General features: G+C 47.7%; 1 protein-coding gene across 3 annotated transcripts in view, besides 1 other annotated feature; it reads left to right on the forward strand.

The window, feature by feature from the left end:
• Positions 472-1,671: an enhancer, noted in NCBI's record as "BRD4-independent group 4 enhancer chr1:175036290-175037489 (GRCh37/hg19 assembly coordinates)". NCBI's record gives its function as "activates an origin of replication core promoter dependent on BRD2, P300/CBP, MED14 and CDK7 cofactors, and independent of BRD4, by STARR-seq in HCT116 cells {active_cell/tissue: HCT116}" and the evidence as "EXISTENCE:reporter gene assay evidence [ECO:0000049][PMID:35650434]".
• TNN (tenascin N) overlaps positions 1,151-18,545 on the forward strand; it is an 80,243-nt gene continuing 62,848 nt past the window's right edge. The window contains exons 1-5 of one of the 3 annotated variants that reach the window (NM_022093.2): positions 1,151-1,253; positions 10,702-11,145; positions 12,651-13,025; positions 13,481-13,744; positions 17,068-17,253. In NM_022093.2, the coding sequence (NP_071376.1) occupies positions 10,737-11,145; positions 12,651-13,025; positions 13,481-13,744; positions 17,068-17,253 (1,234 nt within the window). In that variant the 5' untranslated portion in view covers positions 1,151-1,253; positions 10,702-10,736. Of the gene's footprint in view, positions 1,254-5,832; positions 6,439-10,701; positions 11,146-12,650; positions 13,026-13,480; positions 13,745-17,067; positions 17,254-18,545 lie in introns of those variants that run through there. The other 2 variants (XM_017002048.2, XM_017002049.2) reach the window with 2 other exon arrangements.

Consider the following 18,545-nt stretch of genomic DNA (forward strand, 5'->3'; position numbering starts at 1 on the left):
CAAATATGATTTAGTGGGATACATAAGGAGAATTAAAAAGTTATAATAATCATGGTAGCAGGTAATCTTTACCAAGTCCTCATTGTGTCTTGGGACTAGTCTAAGTTCTTTACCCCATCTACTCATTTGAACCTCACAATAACCATAAGACACTATTCCTATTTTACAGACGAGTAAGCTGAGCCACAAAGAAGTTGTCAAAGGTCATTTGCAAGTAGCAGACACAAGCTTCAGATCCAGGCAAGCTGCCTCTGGGAACCCCCCTCCAATTTCTGGGGGCCACTTTTTGGTCCCCCGTCTCTCCTTCTCCTTTCCCTCCAGCAGCATTTGATGCTGACATAGGTGAACTGGAAACATATGGTCTCCTTCATTTTGTTGTGGATCTGCACTCCAGAATCTACTTCCCACAGAGCAGGAGAGGGATGGGGTGTAAGGAAGGGTGGCAGGTGTCAGCCCATGCCCTATTGAAATGACTCTGGTTCATAGGAAGGATGAAGGCCTGTCCATCTGAGGGCAAAAGAGGAAGGGCAGCCAGAAAGGGGCACGACTATTCTTTCCTGATTTTGGAGCTCTTGTACTGTTGGCGTGTGGGAGGCATTTGGGATGGGGTGAGGGTCAGAGTGGGCTTGTGGGACCGAATGTCCCCAGTCTGTTATTCCTGCCCCCACTTCAGAGTCCTGCCACTCACAAGTGTGAGACGATGGATGAAGGAGGAGGGAAGTCAGAAGAGCTTCTGTCCCTGAGGGTCTCTGCTCATTTCTTTCTGTGCTAAAGGCTTTTTCCCATTTTAAAAGCAGTAGGCAGGAAGTCCCAGAATGCCTGAAACAGGAAAAAGAGAAAGAAACTTTATAAATGCACTTTTGAACCCCGAGACCCAGCTCCTGGCCAGGAGACAGGCAAACTCTTTTAATATCCTTATTCTGGATTCACTTAAATGGAAACAGCCTCCAGTATTTTTAGCTGCTGTGTAATCAAAGTGAAAAAGAAGAAGGAAATGTATATATTTTTCTTTCCTAGTTAGAATAAGAGAAGGAATTGCTCATTATCTTTTAGCAGAGTCCCTGCTAGGAAGGGAGGAAAACACCAGGAGTCTCCATTTGCTCCTCCTCTGGCCTAGACAGGATTTAAACCCAGGAAGGGAAGCCAAGGAGAGACGAGAACCAGGGACGACCAGCAAGTACCAAGGTCTGCGGCAGGAGGAGACCGGCTCACAGGAGCAGCAGCATTGGAAGAGGCACCCAGCAGCCTCCCAGGTAAGAGTGCCAGTTGCCCAAGCTTTACTTACTGGAGGGAGGGAGGTGGCCAATGCAGATGAGCTCAAAAGTGGTGGCTCAGGTGCCTCCGTTCCCGAGCCTGAAAATCCGGGCAGTGTAATTAGTCTCCTATCACCTCCATGAAGAGTTAAAATGAATTGGGAAGTACCTCTCAGGACCCGTGTACTGCATCCTTAGTATTATACTCCAGTCTCAGACAGGGCTAAGCATAGTTATCCTCTTTCCTGCAACACAGATGCGTCTGTGTTGTATCAGCTTCTACCTGGCGTAACACATTTTTGTATAAAATGTTTCCTTTAAGATGTTCCTTCTCATTTTTTTTTCTTTTTAACTTACTTACAATGTCAAAGCTTTCTCTCTCTCTGTCTTTTTTTGGATAATTTAGTATTGTTGTATTTCATTATTCTTTTAAATCCTAAAACAGAATTGTTATTTTAGTTATGATTAGGAAGCTATGATAACTTTCCCTTTGTCTGGATTTTGTGTGAATCAGTTAAGGGGATGTTTGCAAACACATTTGAACAGCTTTGAAGTATCTCCAGACATTTAATTTTACAGGTTTTAATTATTATTTGTTAAGACGACAACTTCTCTCGAAATCCCCATACTATTACCCTCACAATACCTCAAAGAAAACATTTCAAGACATCTAAAAAAATGATGTGGTTGGCCGGGCATGGTGGCTCATGCCTGTAATCCCAGCACTTTGAGAGGCTGAGGCAGGTGGATCACCTGAGGTCGAGAGTTCGAGACCAGCCTGACCAACATGGAGAAACTCCGTCTCTACTAAAAATACAAAAAATTAGCCGGGCGTGGTGGCGCATGCCTATAATCCCAGCTACTTGGGAGGCTGAGGCAGGAGAATTGCTTGAACCTGGGAGGTGGAGGTTGCGGTGAGCCGAGATTGAACCATTGCACTCCAGCCTGGGCAACAAGAGCAAAACTCCATCTAAAAAACAAAAACAAAACAAAGCAAACAAACAAAAAAAACTAGTTTTTGGAGGTCTTACTTTTTACTTATTTATTAATTTTTGTGCTTGGGAGAGATCTGGGGGAAGGATGGAGAAAGAATGAATGAGAACAGGCAGGGCTTCACTTAAAAGCATGAAACCTGTGTTGCTTATATAAGCATTAAAAAAAAGAACAAGTTCCAACATAAAAGTAACAAACTGCCCACATTGGGACACAGGTTAGCCACAGTGCCTAAAATCCACTGGTTCTTGGAAAAGCTGAGGTGTCACCAAGGCATCAGATGATACCTTGCTCGGTCAGGGCTACGTATTGGCAGCTGGCCTCTTGACATTCAGACATTTGTTGCAGACTCAGAATCAAGGTGACAGTGTCAGACACAGGAAAAAATAGAGTATCAATACTGGTATCATTTTTCCAGGAGAGAAGGGAAGAAGGCACCTGGCATTCTTTCATACAACTCTAAGTACTGCTTTGTCCCCAGTTTATAGGCTGCAGCTGACTCCCGAAGGAGGGAAAATAGAACAAATGATTTCAAATCATCCCGTGGCTTCTGGTTTTCCAGTCCAGTGCTGCTCTGTGGTTTGAAATGTAGGGTGGGCAGAGCTCTCTTTCTGAGAAGATGCCTGAGGAAATTGTGCCCAGGCCCAGTGGAAACTTTTGTCCATTCACTGCTCATTCCAGAGCCTTGGCTCCTATAGGATCTGGATACAGACATGAGATCATGGTTTAGGTCCTGTAGCCACATCTGGAGCCACCAGTCTGTGAGCAGAAGTTGCTAAGATCTCAGGCCTGATCTCTGGATGGACAGGGACTTTGCTGCTTCTGCCACAGTGGACTCACTGCTAATGCTGCCCAGCCACCATTTGAATCTGTACCCAGCGAGTGTGAGTGGAACAGTGCAAATGCTTGGAAATTAGCAAACGCTCTCCTCCTTGCTAGAAGACTGGAACTTTAAAGTTACTTCAATATGTGGAAAACAACACGTTAGCTAAAGAAAGAAATTGCAGAGTTTTTTGTTTTGTTTTGTTTTAATCTGACGCCCCTCACACCCATGGATATTAGGGCTAATTGTATACAAAGTAATATTTAGTCATTCTGGGGACTGGCTGTTTGGTTGAATAAGGGAGAGGAAGGTTCCTGAATTTAGGTCCCGTGTCTATTTTATCTTGTTATTGTGCATGAGCTTGGTCCCACAAAAGCTAAAGGAAGTTCTTGCTGTGAGAAAGTGATTCATTCTCTGGGGGTAAATGAACATCTTTGCCTGATGTCCAAGAGGAGATTTTAAAGTGCTTTGCACAGAGCCTGGCATGTAATAAATGCATAGAAAATGGTAGCTACCATTATCATCACTCATTTGAGCCTTTGCAAGGCAGATTAAGAGTCAGTTGTCAAAACAAAACAAAATGAGCCTGTGGTCACCCCTGAAAAAGTGATTGAGTGCTGAGGCTGGGTCAGGACACCATCCTTGATCTTTTCAAGCCTCAGGCGGGTGGGCAGACTTGATGGGATGGCTCTCCAGGAAAAGGGTTCTAGCACGGTGGTGTGAGAGTCATCTCCAAGGACTTCCTGGACACTCCCTGGGTATCCCACAGAACTAGGAGAATGGGGGGACAGAGTGATACCCAGAATGTGACCATACTAAGCCCTATCACATAAAACCAAATTTCCATTCTCTTCCATACTTAGCTGTCTTGTATCCTATATGCAATCCTATATTCAACATCACAGAGACTAGAAATAAAAATGTTTGTATGTACTTGCTTCTACTGGAGTTTAACCTAGGAGAGACAGACCTCCCTTGTATATCCATTTTCTTGGATCTGAAGGAGAAAGAGATACAGAGGTGAAATCGGTCCCCTAAGCCTCTAGTTCAAGGTGAGTTGAGCCAGGGTAGATTCCTCAGCCAGCTGAGAACTTGCTGTCCTGGACCAGGTTACTTGGGAAGTACAGGGAAGGCCCCTGAGTCACCCAGGGCCCAAGCTGCAGATCATTAGCAATATATGCCAAAGAGAGTTAAGGAAGGAGTGACAAGTTTGCCAGTGACATTTGTGACATTGATGCATCCCTAGCCACTCATCTCCCTCATTTTCCTTCATAGTTTAATGATATCCACCCTGTCATTTGGGGACAGAATATCTTCTTAAGTGACTCTGTTGGAAATCCATGATGATACACTTTTTCTAAAACCCAAAGCAGTGCTTTCATTTTCCTGTGGTTAACTGTCAAGGCAGGATGAGATAATAAGGGAACCAGAGAAAGCCCTGAATTTAAGTATAAAGGTCTGTAACAGTGGCTAGAAATTGGCTACCTCTCTTCTTTGGCGTAAGTAGTATTTTTTTTTTCCTGACCCAGGGTGTGTGTCCTTCTTTGGGGAAAATGAGGTGACACAGAAACCATCCACCCCTGGGGTCCAAGAGGACCATCAGGATTCAGGGGCCATCCTCCTCCCTTGGCCAAGGCTTGGATGCCATCTGCCCCTGCAGACAGAAGTATCTGTGCACTTTGGTGTTTCCTAGGAAGGGAATTCTCCAGCTTCTCATGAGAATTGACTGGGACTTAACCTCTATGTGAGGGAAATGCAATTCATGTCCCCAGTGGATCATCCTTGGCACCACTCAGAGGAAGTAACCCTCTCTTAAAAACACATGGCAGAACGGAGGACATCTGGTGTTTTTTTTGTTTTTGTTTTTGTTTTGTATATACAGGACATATAACAGACAGATGAAGAACACAGACGCAGGCAGTGGACAGACCTGGTGTGTGATCCCAGCTCTGCTGCTTTTTAGCTGTGTGTCCTTTGGCAAATTACTTAACTTCTCTGAGGACCTGTCACAAAGAATGATATCAACTGACTCCCAGGACTTTGAGGATTAAATGAGGATAATTTTTATAGCGTTTGGCACAATGTCCATTATCTAATAAGCACACATACACAGACACACACAAATCCAGTGGCTATTACTACTTACTTCACAAAATATTACTTTGGCAGGACTGTGCTATGAGGCTGGTGATACAGAGGGGATCAACACAGTCATGGCCCTCTCTGTCATCTCTGAGCTCACAAGGATACCTGGGCTAGAAACACGCATACAGATTTGGCAACTGTCAACATTTGGCTGGAAATTAAAGCCACAGGGGTAGATGCAGATACCAAGAGAGAACACAGCAGAAGCATAGAGCCCTGCAACATCTGAAGGCAGAAGTAGGGGGACCATCCATGCAGCCCATGGTCAGTCGTGTACTCCTCAAAGAGCCTTTCTGGTAAAAGCAACACAAGGCAGCATTTGTTCCTGAGTCTAATGTATCCCTCCCTCCCACCTTCCCACACCACCCAACACCCCTTCTGCAGTCAGAATTAAAGACATGACCAGCCTCTGTAAGACAATGATTCTTGGGGACAACTGGTTTCCTGTGGTTCCTGCATACACATTTCCTGCATGTAAATGCCCTTCGCTTCATGCATCCCTGCAGAATTTACCCAACTTTCCATGGGAAAATACCCCTCAGCAGAATAATCCTCCCTATTTGGAAATGTATCATCCTGCGTTTTGCTCAGAAAAATCTTCTGCCCTGTCTGCCCCCTCCCCACCCTCGCGGAGCTCAGCCTGTGGTTTGCTGTGCATACTGAAAGAGTCGATGAAGTCATCCTTCCCTTCTGCTGTTAAACAAGGAGTCTCTTTCCTGCCACGTGTTGGAGTGAGAGCCAGCAGGCTTCTCTTCTTGCTCATTACACTTGACAGAATGTTAGGTTGAGGATTTCCCTTGCTCTCATCTTCTTTCGAACAATCAACCTACCCAGGAAAATCTGAGCGCAACTTGTGGAATCTGAGAGGCAGTAATTAATGAGGACATCTTGTTACAAATCAGAAGGACAGGCAACACCAAGGGCTCCAACAGGGACTTGTGGGAGTTCTCATATTCCAGGCTACAAAAACAAATGCTGTAGACCTGGGCTCTGGGCAGCCTTACTGTGGTTGATGGCAAGAGTCCACGGCTTTTTTTTTTTTTTTTTTTTTTTTGCTTTCGTTGAGAACTTCTTCAGAAAACCATCTGCACTTCATTTATGTCTCAGGCTGGGGGTGGGGGGTCGGATGGAAAGCACGGGCAGAGAAGTCTGCTTTTTCAGCCCTATTTTTGCCCAGGAAGAAGATTTTTGGACAGTGGAAACTCATGTGCTGCCATGAACACAGTAGGTGCTTTAGAGATCAATATGCGTTGTTACTGGTGAACGGCAGAAGTGTATAGGGATTAGTGGCTCCATTGCTGGACACTGTGCATCTGGGATTGCATCTGTGGCCGTGTGCTCATCAATTGCATAATCAGTTGCTCAATGCCACTGAGCCTCAGTTCCTATCCTGGGGATCAAGTGGAGAATAGCGTGTGGCTTTTATCTTTGTGATGAACGTCTAAGGATGGCCGTTGTGAAATATCATTATTTTTATCCTACACCTGCCTTCCAACTCATTTTCCTGGCTTCCCACTCCCCCCATCTTCTGACAAAAATCTCAAGCAGATTCCAGAGCTTTTCTGGTGGCTTTTGGTCTTAGAAGAGAATTGCTTTTGTGAAAGCAAGTCCATTTCAGTATTGAGCCTCAGTCTCTCATCCAGGCCACATCTTTTCTTCTTTCTCAGCTCAGACCTGATGCTGGAACCTGCAGAGAAGCTGGAGGGAAGGGGCTTGGGGCTTTCCTCCCTCCACTTCTCTCTCCTTAACATGCATGGCTGCTTCTGGCTTCACCAGTTTGCTGCTGCCTGGGGCGAGGTGAGGGTTAGAAAAGAAGGGAGAGGGCACTTTTACTTTACTGGGGCTGTTGTGGTTCCCTCTGTTGGATGCCCTTGTTATGGTGAATGCTTCCAGTGCTGGGCCACCCCTCCTTTGTGGGGAGCTTCTGTGGGATCTTTAGATATTCCCCTTCCCACCCACTGGGCATGTCCTGCTGCAGTCGCCCCCTTGGGGTGGCACACTCCTGCTGAACGGTGGACCTGCACCTCAGCTCGGGCCCTGAACTGCCCTCTTGGTAGCTCTAACATGCCTCATTTCTGTGACATCAACTTGGCCTCGCCAAAGTCTGAGTTTCAGTCCTCTCACACTGCAGCCCCCTTCCTCTCTCTGCCATGCAGCCTGTTCCAGCCAAGCTTCCACCTGTGAATTCCTCCGGGCCAGAATCAGGCACCAGTCTCTTTGCCTGCCACCCCCACTAATTCACCGTGACCCCACCCCCAACCCCCAAACCTCCAGTGGCACACTGTCTTTGAAATGTGTGGGCACGGCCAGGTGTAGTGGCTCATGGCTGTAATCCTAGCACTTTGGGGAGCTGAGGTGGACAGGCTGCTTGAACCCAGGAATTCGAGACCAGGTTGGGCAAGATGGTGAAACCCCATCTCCACAAAAAAAATACAAAAATTAGCCAGGCACTGTGACATATACCTGTAGTCCCGGCTACTCAGGAGGCTGAGGTGGGAGGATCACTGGAGCCCAGGAGGTGGACATTGCAGTGAGCCGTGATTGTGCCAATGCACTCCAGCCTGGGCGACAGAATGGGATCCTGTCTGAAAAAAAAAAAAAAAAAAAAAAAAAGAAGTGTGCAGGCACTTATTACCCATGGTCCAAGTCACAAGACAACAAGAAGTGTCCCATTGACTATTCCATTCCATCTGCCGGGTGTTGAGTCCAGTGCCTGAAATGCAGTCAGTTCTCAGAAGAAGTGAGCTTTTATTATTATCAACAATACATGCTTTTGGTGATAGGAAGAGCCATGAAGGAGTGGGAGGGCAAAGGGGTAACACAAAGAAAAACCCTTCATAGGTACCATTCTGCTTAATTCACAGTGGTGTCACATCCCTTGGGTACAACATGTATAATGGATGAAAGCATTGCATAGGGACATGTATCTAACTGCGCTCATTTGTCATTTGTATCAGAATGTCATATTGGCACAGAGCAAGCATAGGCTTGCAATCAGATGGGTCTGCGTTTGAATCCTGGCTCTGCCACTTCGTTGTTGGGCAACCCTGGCAAATGACTTTACCTCTCAGATCTGGTTTCCTTACCTTTTGAGTGAGGAGAGGAACACTGACCTTACATGGCAGCTCTGGGGATTAATTACGAGGAATAATGCACCCAGCCAATGCCTAGTGCGTAGCAGCAACTCAGTAAATAACATTTAGCATTTCATGCTATTGTGATTCTTCTTCTTCTTTTATTCTTCCAGGGCTCTTCACCCCCTGTTTCCTCAACTTCCTGATACTAAATGAATGATGACTATTAAAATTAAACATTTTACATATTACTAGAATTTGGCTTAGTGGCTAGAAATATTTCTTCCTTTTATAATCAATATAGTTGAAAGATGCCTTTCAACCTAGGCGTTATTATTATTATTTGAGATCGAGTCTTGCTCTGTCGCCCAGGCTGGAGTGCAGTGGCATGGTCTCGGCTCACTGCAGCCTCCGCCTCCCGGGTTCCAGCAGTTCTCTATCTCAGCCTCCCAAGAAGCTGGGATTAGAGGAGTGCACCGCCACACCTGGCTAATTTTTGTGCTTTTAGTAGAGAAAGGTTTCACCATGTTGGCCAGACTGGTCTCGAACTCCTGGCCTCAAGTGATCCTCCTGCCATGGCCTCCCAAAGTGTTGGGATTACAGATGTGAGCCACCGTGCCCGGCCAGCATTATTCTTTATAGCAGAACAGATGAGGAAGAAAAGGAAGTCACATTCAGTAAATCGATTGAAAATAAAATAAACCTCAAAATTTTGACTAATCCTTGCTCACATACCAGACATAGTGCTCACTGCTGTTCACATCTAAGAGGGGTGACGCGCTGTCATTCCCACGTTACAGACAAGGAGGCGGAGGCTCAGGATGAGGAGCATTTTTAGGGATGCACATCCTACAGCCTGTCTGAGGTGCCTTTCCACCATATCCCAACTGCCTCTCACCACGGGCAGGGAGAGCCTGTGCTCAAGCAAAACACAGACCACAGGAGAGGACTGTGTTTCCTGACTTCAAATTTTGGCATAAATAATTGCAGGTCTTGGGTTAGTTACAGAAACCCATTGTCAAGAGACAGCTCTGCAGATCACTTTCTAGATAACTGCTGCTATGCAAGCCCAACTGGGATGTATCTTGTGACTGAGGTTCCTGTGAGCAAAATGTGAGGTGAAAGCTGGGTCTCTTGTGGTCTGTCCTGCCTCAGCTTGTTAGTGTGCAAAGAATGGGCCGTCCTAGATGGGGGTTGGGGGCACAAGGGGAAATGGCTGGAGAGAGTAATTCTGCTCATTGACAGTGGTGAAGACACCACCTCCTGGTGAAGGAGGAGGAAAAACCTAACCACCTGCCCCATCTCAGGTCGCCTGGCTTGACTGACAAACCAGGCCACCCATGCACGGATGGATTTGAGAAACAGTGACCAAACCTCTCCGCATGTGTGACAGTGCTCCTGCCACAGGAGGGCCCCAAGATGAATCAGCCCAGTCCTGTCCTTAACAGGCTCACGGCCTAAGACAAGCTGCATACAAGAGTAACTGTAACACCAGGTCAACGCTCAAGAGACCAGCAGTGAGGGACAGGTCCATTTCTCTGAATGCTTAGCAGAAGTGAAGCTAGTCTCCAGCTGGGTAAGGCAGGGGGACAGGAGAGAAGACTTTGTGGAGCAGGTAATTTTATTAGAAATTCTTATGTTTTACTGGTTCACAAGTGAGTTTCGTGAGCAGGATGCTGGCCCTGCAGTCAGTGGACTTGGGTCTGAGTACAGGTTCTGCTCTTCCTGGCCGTGGGACTCAGGACAACTTGCTCAGCTTTCTCATCTGTGCAAAGCAGCATGGCATTGTGGGGATGAGCATGGACTCTGGGGTCAGATTGCCTGGGTTCAAATCCTGCCACTCTGAGCTGGGTGCTGGTTGGCAAGTCATTTAAAGTAGTAGTGCTTCAGTTTCCATATCTATAAGATGGGGGTCATCATAGTATATTCCAACAAACAATTGTGAGAATGGAATGAGTTAATAAATGTGAAACACTTAGAACATTTAGAATAGTGCCTGTCACATAGCAAGTGCTCTATGTGCAGCTCATATTGTTGATGTTGTTAAAAGGGAGGATAATATTAGCGTTGCTGTAAAGATCCAGAATTAGGGGGATCAAAGCGTGGCACACAATAGGCTGTCAACACAAGAGAGCTGCTCTTCTTATTATTAATAAGTGCAGGTGAGCCTAGAATGAGAGGTGAAGAGAAGGGCATCCTGGGCAGTGTGAACAGTAAGCAAAGAGAGGAGGCAGGAATATGCAATCTGTGAGGCAGGAACAGAAAGTAATTTGGTTCGGATCCTTGGGAGAAATAGAATGAGTTCTTTCTGCTGGTTTCCCAGCTTCCTTGGGCTCTTAGAATCTGGTAAAAAAAAAGCCAGCTTCCCTCAGCACATCTCCGTGGCTTTCTTTTGCAATGTTTCTGAATACAGGCATCCTGGAGGGTCTGCTCCCTGTCTTTCCAAGGATGAGTCTCCAGGAGATGTTCCGCTTCCCTATGGGGCTCCTGCTTGGCTCTGTGCTCCTGGTGGCTTCGGCCCCAGCCACTCTGGAGCCTCCCGGCTGCAGCAACAAGGAGCAACAGGTCACTGTCAGCCACACCTACAAGATCGATGTGCCCAAGTCTGCCTTGGTTCAGGTTGACGCTGACCCTCAGCCCCTCAGTGACGATGGGGCTTCGCTCTTGGCCCTGGGGGAGGCCAGGGAGGAACAGAACATCATCTTCAGGCACAACATCCGCCTTCAGACGCCACAGAAGGACTGCGAGTTGGCAGGCAGTGTCCAGGACCTCCTGGCCCGGGTGAAGAAGCTGGAGGAAGAGATGGTGGAGATGAAGGAACAGTGTAGTGCCCAGCGCTGCTGCCAGGGAGTCACTGGTGAGCTCACCACCTGGTATTCATTCAACAAACATTTGATGAGCACCTATTATGTGCCAGGGTTTCCACTAGCCTCATGAGCACTTTGTGACTCTGGTGTGCTCCTACTTCTCATTCTGGGTTTTCTCTAGGGGGCCCATCCCTGCTATTTATTCATTTATTCACTGGTACTAGCTCCAGGGGGCATCTGGAAGCTGAGCAGGGAGGGACCAGCAGCTCTTGCAGAGAGTCTAGACTCCTGGCCTATTGCTTCCAGATGGGAATGCTTCCAGGAGCCGTCATACCTGTGAATCAAAGCGCTACTCAGAGAGGAAGCAATGGGATACACAGGAAAGATAGGGCCTTGGAGCTAGACAAGACAGGTTACAAATCCCAGTTCTACCACTTTTTAGCTGTGTGACTTTGGGTAAATCCCTTATGTTTCCTCAACTGTCCAACAGGGATGATTCTATCAGCTAGTATAGTTCTGAGAACTAGAGATGATGTGTAGAAGATTCCTGGCCCTTAGAGGAATTTACAAATCAGTAAATTATAATTATTTTATTAGTAAAAATTACAATTATAATTGTAAAATAATTACAATTTAATTTTACAAATAATGAAGGTTCTCCCCCAACGCAACCCCGTCACTTTTAAACATAAACTGCCCAGGCTGATCCAATGATAATGAACAGTACTTTGGCATAGGATTTCATGCCTGAAGGAATTGCTATGGTAAAGAGCACCTTAACCATCAGATCCAGATACAGAACTCGGCACCAGGGACACTGCCATGAATAACCAGCATGGACTTGCTTCTGAGGAGCTCCCACTTTGGAAGCGTTTTTAGGAAGGAAAGAAGGTGTTCTGAAAAGCAGAAGCTGGGCCACAGAGGAGACTGCACTAACCAGTCTGCCCTCCAGCTGCCTCTTGCTGTGTAGGGTCAGAGAGGGGAGCCTGGTTAAATCCCTTCTCCACTGTACCCATAGTTGAGAGTAGGCTATTTTGTAGCTTCTGCAGTTCCGTTTTTTCCAGACTTCAATCTGGGCTCATTTCACAAGGTCCCAGCCTTGCTAGTTCCAGCAAACTCCAACCTCCCTGGATCTCACTTTCCCCCCAGGAGTCCTGCCCTGCAGTGTCAGCTGGCCAGGGTGGAGCATTTAAGGCCCCTCCATAGGAAGGCACTAAATAATGACCACCAGGTAGAGAGGAAGGAACCGGGGAATTCACACGGGAAGGGAAAGGAAAGAAGGGTGGGTCCTGCAGCCTTTTCAGGCAGAGAAAGAAGGAGACGTTTGCAGATGTCACAGATTAGAAAGCCTGGCCCAGGCTGGAAAGGGCCAACACCTTTTCTCCCTTGTGGAGCTCCACCATCCTCCAAAAAATAGCCGTGCAAGACCCAGAAATCACCAGACCCTTAAGAGTGGGGCTAATGATTTCTGGGTCTTGCATGGCTGATCTCAGAGGAAGGAGATCCCCACGCACAACCCTTCAACCCAACCTACTGTTTCTCCTCTCCCTCCCAGATCTAAGCCGCCACTGCAGCGGCCACGGGACCTTCTCCCTGGAGACCTGCAGCTGCCACTGCGAAGAGGGCAGGGAGGGCCCCGCCTGCGAGCGGCTGGCCTGCCCCGGGGCGTGCAGCGGCCACGGGCGTTGCGTGGACGGGCGCTGCCTGTGCCATGAGCCCTACGTGGGTGCCGACTGCGGCTACCCGGCCTGCCCTGAGAACTGCAGCGGACACGGCGAGTGCGTGCGCGGCGTGTGCCAGTGCCACGAAGACTTCATGTCGGAGGACTGCAGCGAGAAGCGCTGTCCCGGCGACTGCAGCGGCCACGGCTTCTGTGACACGGGCGAGTGCTACTGCGAGGAGGGCTTCACAGGCCTGGACTGTGCCCAGGGTGAGAGCGGAGATGTGCCCTCGGGCCGCCGGACTCTTCTTTCCAATGCACCATTTAACCCTCAATTACACGTTGTCATCTTTGGGGGTCTCTTCCTTTAGCCTACGCCAGATTGCTGAGTCCCAACCCCAGAGTTTCTGATTCTGCGATGGGGCCTAAGAATTTGCATTTCTAACAAGTTCCCAGGTGATGCTGATGCTGCTGGTTAGAGGCCCTAACCTTGAGGACCACTGGTCTTGTGATCTAATGGCTGTGTGTGAGTGTGTGTGTGTGTGTGGTGAGGGGGTCAGTATTAATTACCTGTCGTTCGGATAATAACTTCTAGGGGTCGGGAATGGCGCCTTACACAGGTCTGCATCCTGCACACCCACCCTTATAGTGCTCAGGGAATACTCACTGGGTCTGGATCGCCTCCCTTGCTCACCCTCTCTGCCCTGTTCCTGTTCTGCCTGCAGTGGTCACCCCACAGGGCCTGCAGCTGCTCAAGAACACGGAGGATTCTCTGCTGGTGAGCTGGGAGCCCTCCAGCCAGGTGGATCACTACCTCCTCAGCTACTACCCCCTGGGGAAGGAGCTCTCTGGGAAGCAGATCCAAGTGCCCAAGGAGCAGCACAGCTATGAGATTCTTGGTTTGCTGCCTGGAACCAAGTACATAGTCACCCTGCGTAACGTCAAGAATGAAGTTTCTAGCAGCCCACAGCATCTACTTGCCACCACAGGTGAGGAAGCCACCTGATGCCCCAGGGTTCCCAGGAGAGGCCCCATTCTAAATGGTTTCTTTCATTAAACACCTGTAGGCAGTTGCCTTGATTAGGGGTTTGAAAAACACACCTGCCACAATCCTAGGTTCTGAAGAGTCCCAGTTCTCTCTCTTCTTTCCTTGCTCCCTGATTACTGGGTTCTCCAAGCCCATGAAGACCTGCTAGATGGGGGCTCATGGGGTCTTCTCTGTCCCTGAGATTATTTGGGTCTGCACCTTCTCATAAGCAGTCAAAGTGTAGACATGAATCCCCAGTCTCTTACTGAACCCCCAAAGCCATTCAGAAAGTTCAGATAGGTATGGGTGAGAGGCTGCTGAAGCCACCTGTATCAGTTAGATTCATCTTCGTGGGAAAGACAGGACACAAATGGGGTAAATGAAATTTCAAAGTTTAACTAACAGATTGTTCACAAAGGTGTGGGTAGGGGTTGGATGGTGACACACTAAGACCTGCATCAATAAGGATACTCTCCTGCCTGAAGGGGCAAGGGATAGATGTTGGTACTTGGACCCAGAGAGAGCTGTAGAAAAGAGCTGCCTGGTAGGGTTGTTTTGGTAGAGGGATGCAGGCAGTCCACCGTGTCTCCAAAGAATTCTGTCTCCTGCCCTCTGATCTGCTGGTGATTCCTGCTAGCTGAACCTGGAAGCCAAAGGGTCAGGTAAACAGGCAGACTCAATTCACAGAGATCACAGCCTGGGGTACAGAACAAGATGGAGGATGGTGGAGGCTTGATCTGGAGAAACAGAATCTCCTGTGCACCAGCAAATGCCACCAAAATGTTTAGAAGGATTAGCATCACTGCTTACTCTTTAAACATTCTTGTCTCCTCGTGAACATTCTTAAAGCAGCTTAGATCTTCAAGGATTTGGAGAAACGTAGTTGGTTGAATGACTAACTCATTCCTTCACACAGTACATTTTTATTGAGCACTTACCATTTGTCAGGCACTGTTCTCGGTGCTAAAAATGCACTGCCTCCATCCTGCCCTAAACTTCTAGGGAAAGATCTAGGAAGATACAGATGGATGGAACTTTGGCATGCAGTTGTCTTTGCAGAGACATCAAGCTGCCTGTCCTTTATGGTGGTGGGACTAGGGTGGAGGTGGGGATGGGTCAGTGTTGGAAAGGGCTGTGAGAGACTTGGCCATCATGAGGTCACCATATGTGATTACCTTTGTCAGTGCCCTCAAGCTAAAGACCCCCAGGAGCACCCCTGTAGTTGAACAACTTGGGTGTCTTGATTGTTCTAGCATGGGTGACTGCACACTATGGGGGACCATAGAGGTATCTCAGTAAGACAGCGTTAGAAAGGACTGGTTAGAGAATCTGGGCCTGTGTTAGGTAATTTGGGGGAAGGTGTAAGGAAGCAGGGATTGGGTGCTGTCAAGAAGTGGGGAGAGCCTCTCCCCTCTGAGAGGCTGAAGTTGGTGATTGTAACAGAAGTGGCCATCACTCATAGTAGTCAGGAGAGTGGGTGTTCAGCTATTTGTGTGGTTTGGACAATGGTCATGTTTTTGTCTGTGTTCAGAGTTGATCATGGAAGTGTCTTGTTTTTGTCTTGATCTATGCGGTCACAGAGTGACCTGACATTGATGTCCTGTGAAATGGTTTATGTTCAATAGGAGACACCAAGTCCTCACTGTGGGAGCCAGGCCCATTCTGGCTGGCAGAGTCTGCTTTTCTCTTTTTCCCCATTTTGTCTGTGGCTGCCTCTGGTACAGCTAGCACTGTGTCCAAAGCCTCCCAGTGCAGCACAGAGATGCCTATTCTGAAAGTCCTAGCAACCCCTCATCCATCTTGCTCTCGGGATTTGTAAAATTCTGCAAGTGTGAAGTTTCTCTTTCTTTCTAATCTGATTCAGGTTAAACACATTCTTATTTGCTCCTCAGGGGAGCCTAAGACAAGAGGTACTCATCCCCACCATAATCGTGAACATTCTCATTAAGTCCTTGCTTTTTCATTTGTGATTCCCTCCCAATTCTTTTACACCATGTAGGAACTCTTATATAAGCCTCAAGTCACATTTATTACTCACCTCTTGACCTGGCCTTCAGGGAATTCCATCTTTAATGGGAGTCTAAAAACAGCACCTGGCAGATGGAAGCCAGTGGGTGAGAGGAAAAGCTTCAGAGAAAAGGCTCTGTGAGGCTCTTTATCCATAACTGATTGAATCGGGGACGTTCAGAGCCCAGGGACCTTGAGATCACTGAGTTCACACCTGGCCTGACACTAATTCTCGATCCTTCATCATCCGTCAGTGGTCAGTAGGCCTGGGTGGAGACACCTCCAGGGAGGTGAAGGTGGGGGCGTGACTGATGAAGAGGGGAAGCCTGAGAATTGGAGGGCCTTGGCTTTCCTGTCAAAAACTTAGAAGGCCAGGCTCCCTCAGCCTGGGATATGGCTGTTGGAATTTGAAGTGCTTCTCAAAGACCCTAGTCCTCCCATCCCTAGAAAAGTTCTCCCCTTAGAGCTGTAGCAATGATCCATTCCTTTGTATTAATCACTGTAACTTCATGTTTTTTTTTTTTTCTGAGTAGAAGAGTAAACATTTAGCCGTTAATACTTTACTATGAATAAATGTATACAATAACTCTCTTCCTTCACAGGACAGACAGATTGGGCAGCATGAGAATACCAGGTACCAGATGGAAGTGCTAAAATTGGTAAAAATAGCAGGAAGTACACTCAGATGGACCAAGTTAAAATTCACCTACTTTATAGTTTTGCCTAGGGTTCATCCTTAGAGGAGAATTTGAGAGGCAAGGGCTGCAATTTGGGAGATGGAGGAAGGAGCTTGTTGGATTACCAATGTTGTCCTTGAGAAAGTTTGAAATAGATTCTCTCCACTTTCCGTGGAAGTGCCTGAGCTGCTTATCCTGAGGTCGTCTTAGAGGGCAGGGGCTCTGCAGCTGAAGAGTGGGCCTTTAGTTCAGGGCTGTAGCTGTCAGAGCTCTGGACTGAGTGGTTTGGGTGGCCAACCTGAGAGGTACAGTTTGGGCTTGGCCAAAGTCAGTGTGGACAGGGAAGACCACATGGCCTCTGATGGGATGGGGAAGTGGAGGCTTTCCCAAAAGACAGTCTGCCCATGGAATATGTGAAAACCAGCAGCTTAGTTGCTACTTTGGTAGCTCAAAGACACCTGCTAAGAACTGTGTCCTGGGGCTGAAGCCAGCTCTTGAGATGTCAAGAAAGGGAGCTGACCTGATAACCAACAGCCTGTCACAGAACCTTGGAACCTCTGCTCTTCACCACTTTCTCTTGCCTCCGTCACCCCTGCCCTAGACCTTGCTGTGCTTGGCACTGCCTGGGTGACAGATGAGACTGAGAACTCCCTTGACGTGGAGTGGGAAAACCCCTCAACTGAGGTGGACTACTACAAGCTGCGATATGGCCCCATGACAGGACAGGAGGTAGCTGAGGTCACTGTGCCCAAGAGCAGTGACCCCAAGAGCCGATATGACATCACTGGTAAGAGCCATCACTGGAATGTGAGATGTATGCTGTGGATGCAGAGGTGGGGATAGTGTGTGCAGAGGGCACTGGCATCTGCACTGCTCAAGTGTGCACAGACAGCCCAGGGGCCTTAGGAATCACACTTGAATCTGACCCTTGAATCTGCCAGACATAAGCCCACCTGGGAGGCCTGTAGACTCTGCCCCAGCATTCCAGAGCTCGATCCCAGGGCACCTTGTTAACAGATTATATTTGTGAGATGTTCTCCAAGTCAGCAAACTCTCTTGAAGACCCTGTCTGTGTCTCAGAATGGATTTGATGGTGTATAGATATTCCTTTTGGAGGAACTTTAGTATTTGGGTGTTGGGGACAGGAGGGAACAGAAAGAGAGAGAGAGAGATTGAGATTGGTTTGTTGAGCATGATGCATGGAAGGGGTTGTGTTGGGGGATGTGGAGGGGGGCAGGGTGCAGTGAGCAGGGGTGGCTCTCTGTCTCTGATTTCTGAGCTAATGCTGCCAAGAGCTAGAGCTCAAATGGCTGCTAAGGAAACAAGGCTGCAGGGATGGATCAAGTTTGGCAGTGCTTGAAGTCTGTACAATTCCAGGGCTCTTTTTTAAGAAAAGTAATACGCAATCATGAATACCCAATCAGGTACAAGGCCTTGGAATGGGCCCGTGAAAGTGTGGGGCTTATTAGCTTCATGGTAAATTCCCTCCTGGAGCCTTGTTCTGCTGTCCACTCCTTGAGTTCTGTCTTGACAGGACATTTTGGGGTTCTTAGTGTTTGTGGAGTGCAGAATGAGGGTGTGTGCCTCACACAAGCTTCTGTTTGTCTGCATTTTACCACCACAGTCTGAATATTTGTGCCCAAGGAAAAATAATTCTAGTTGCTTCTACAGAGAAATAACTTTTTTTTAAAAAAAGGGCTGGGCATAATGGCTCATGCCTGTGGTCCCAGCTACTTAAGAGGCTGAGGCGGGAGGATCCCTTGAGCCCAGGAGGTTGAGGCTACCATGAGCCGTGATTGCACCACTGCACTCTAGCCTGAGTGACACAGTGAGATCCTGTCTCTAATAAAATAAATAGGAAAAAATTAGGCTAAATGTCACAATGAGAAGGAGAGATGCTTTGGAAGGAAAAGGGTTGCTGGGAGCAGAAACACATTTGGGTCTATAAATAAAATTGGGAAATAAGTGCTAGGTGGCCCAGTGAAGAACCAGAGAACATTTGAAATGCATTTCAATTGCTGTCATCTCATTTGCTGTGATGCCCTACTCCCATCCCCAGCCTATAAGCCCCCTCAGTGA

Source organism: Homo sapiens, chromosome 1 (genome assembly GCF_000001405.40).
Source record: "Homo sapiens chromosome 1, GRCh38.p14 Primary Assembly".
Classification (NCBI taxonomy): domain Eukaryota; kingdom Metazoa; phylum Chordata; class Mammalia; order Primates; family Hominidae; genus Homo; species Homo sapiens.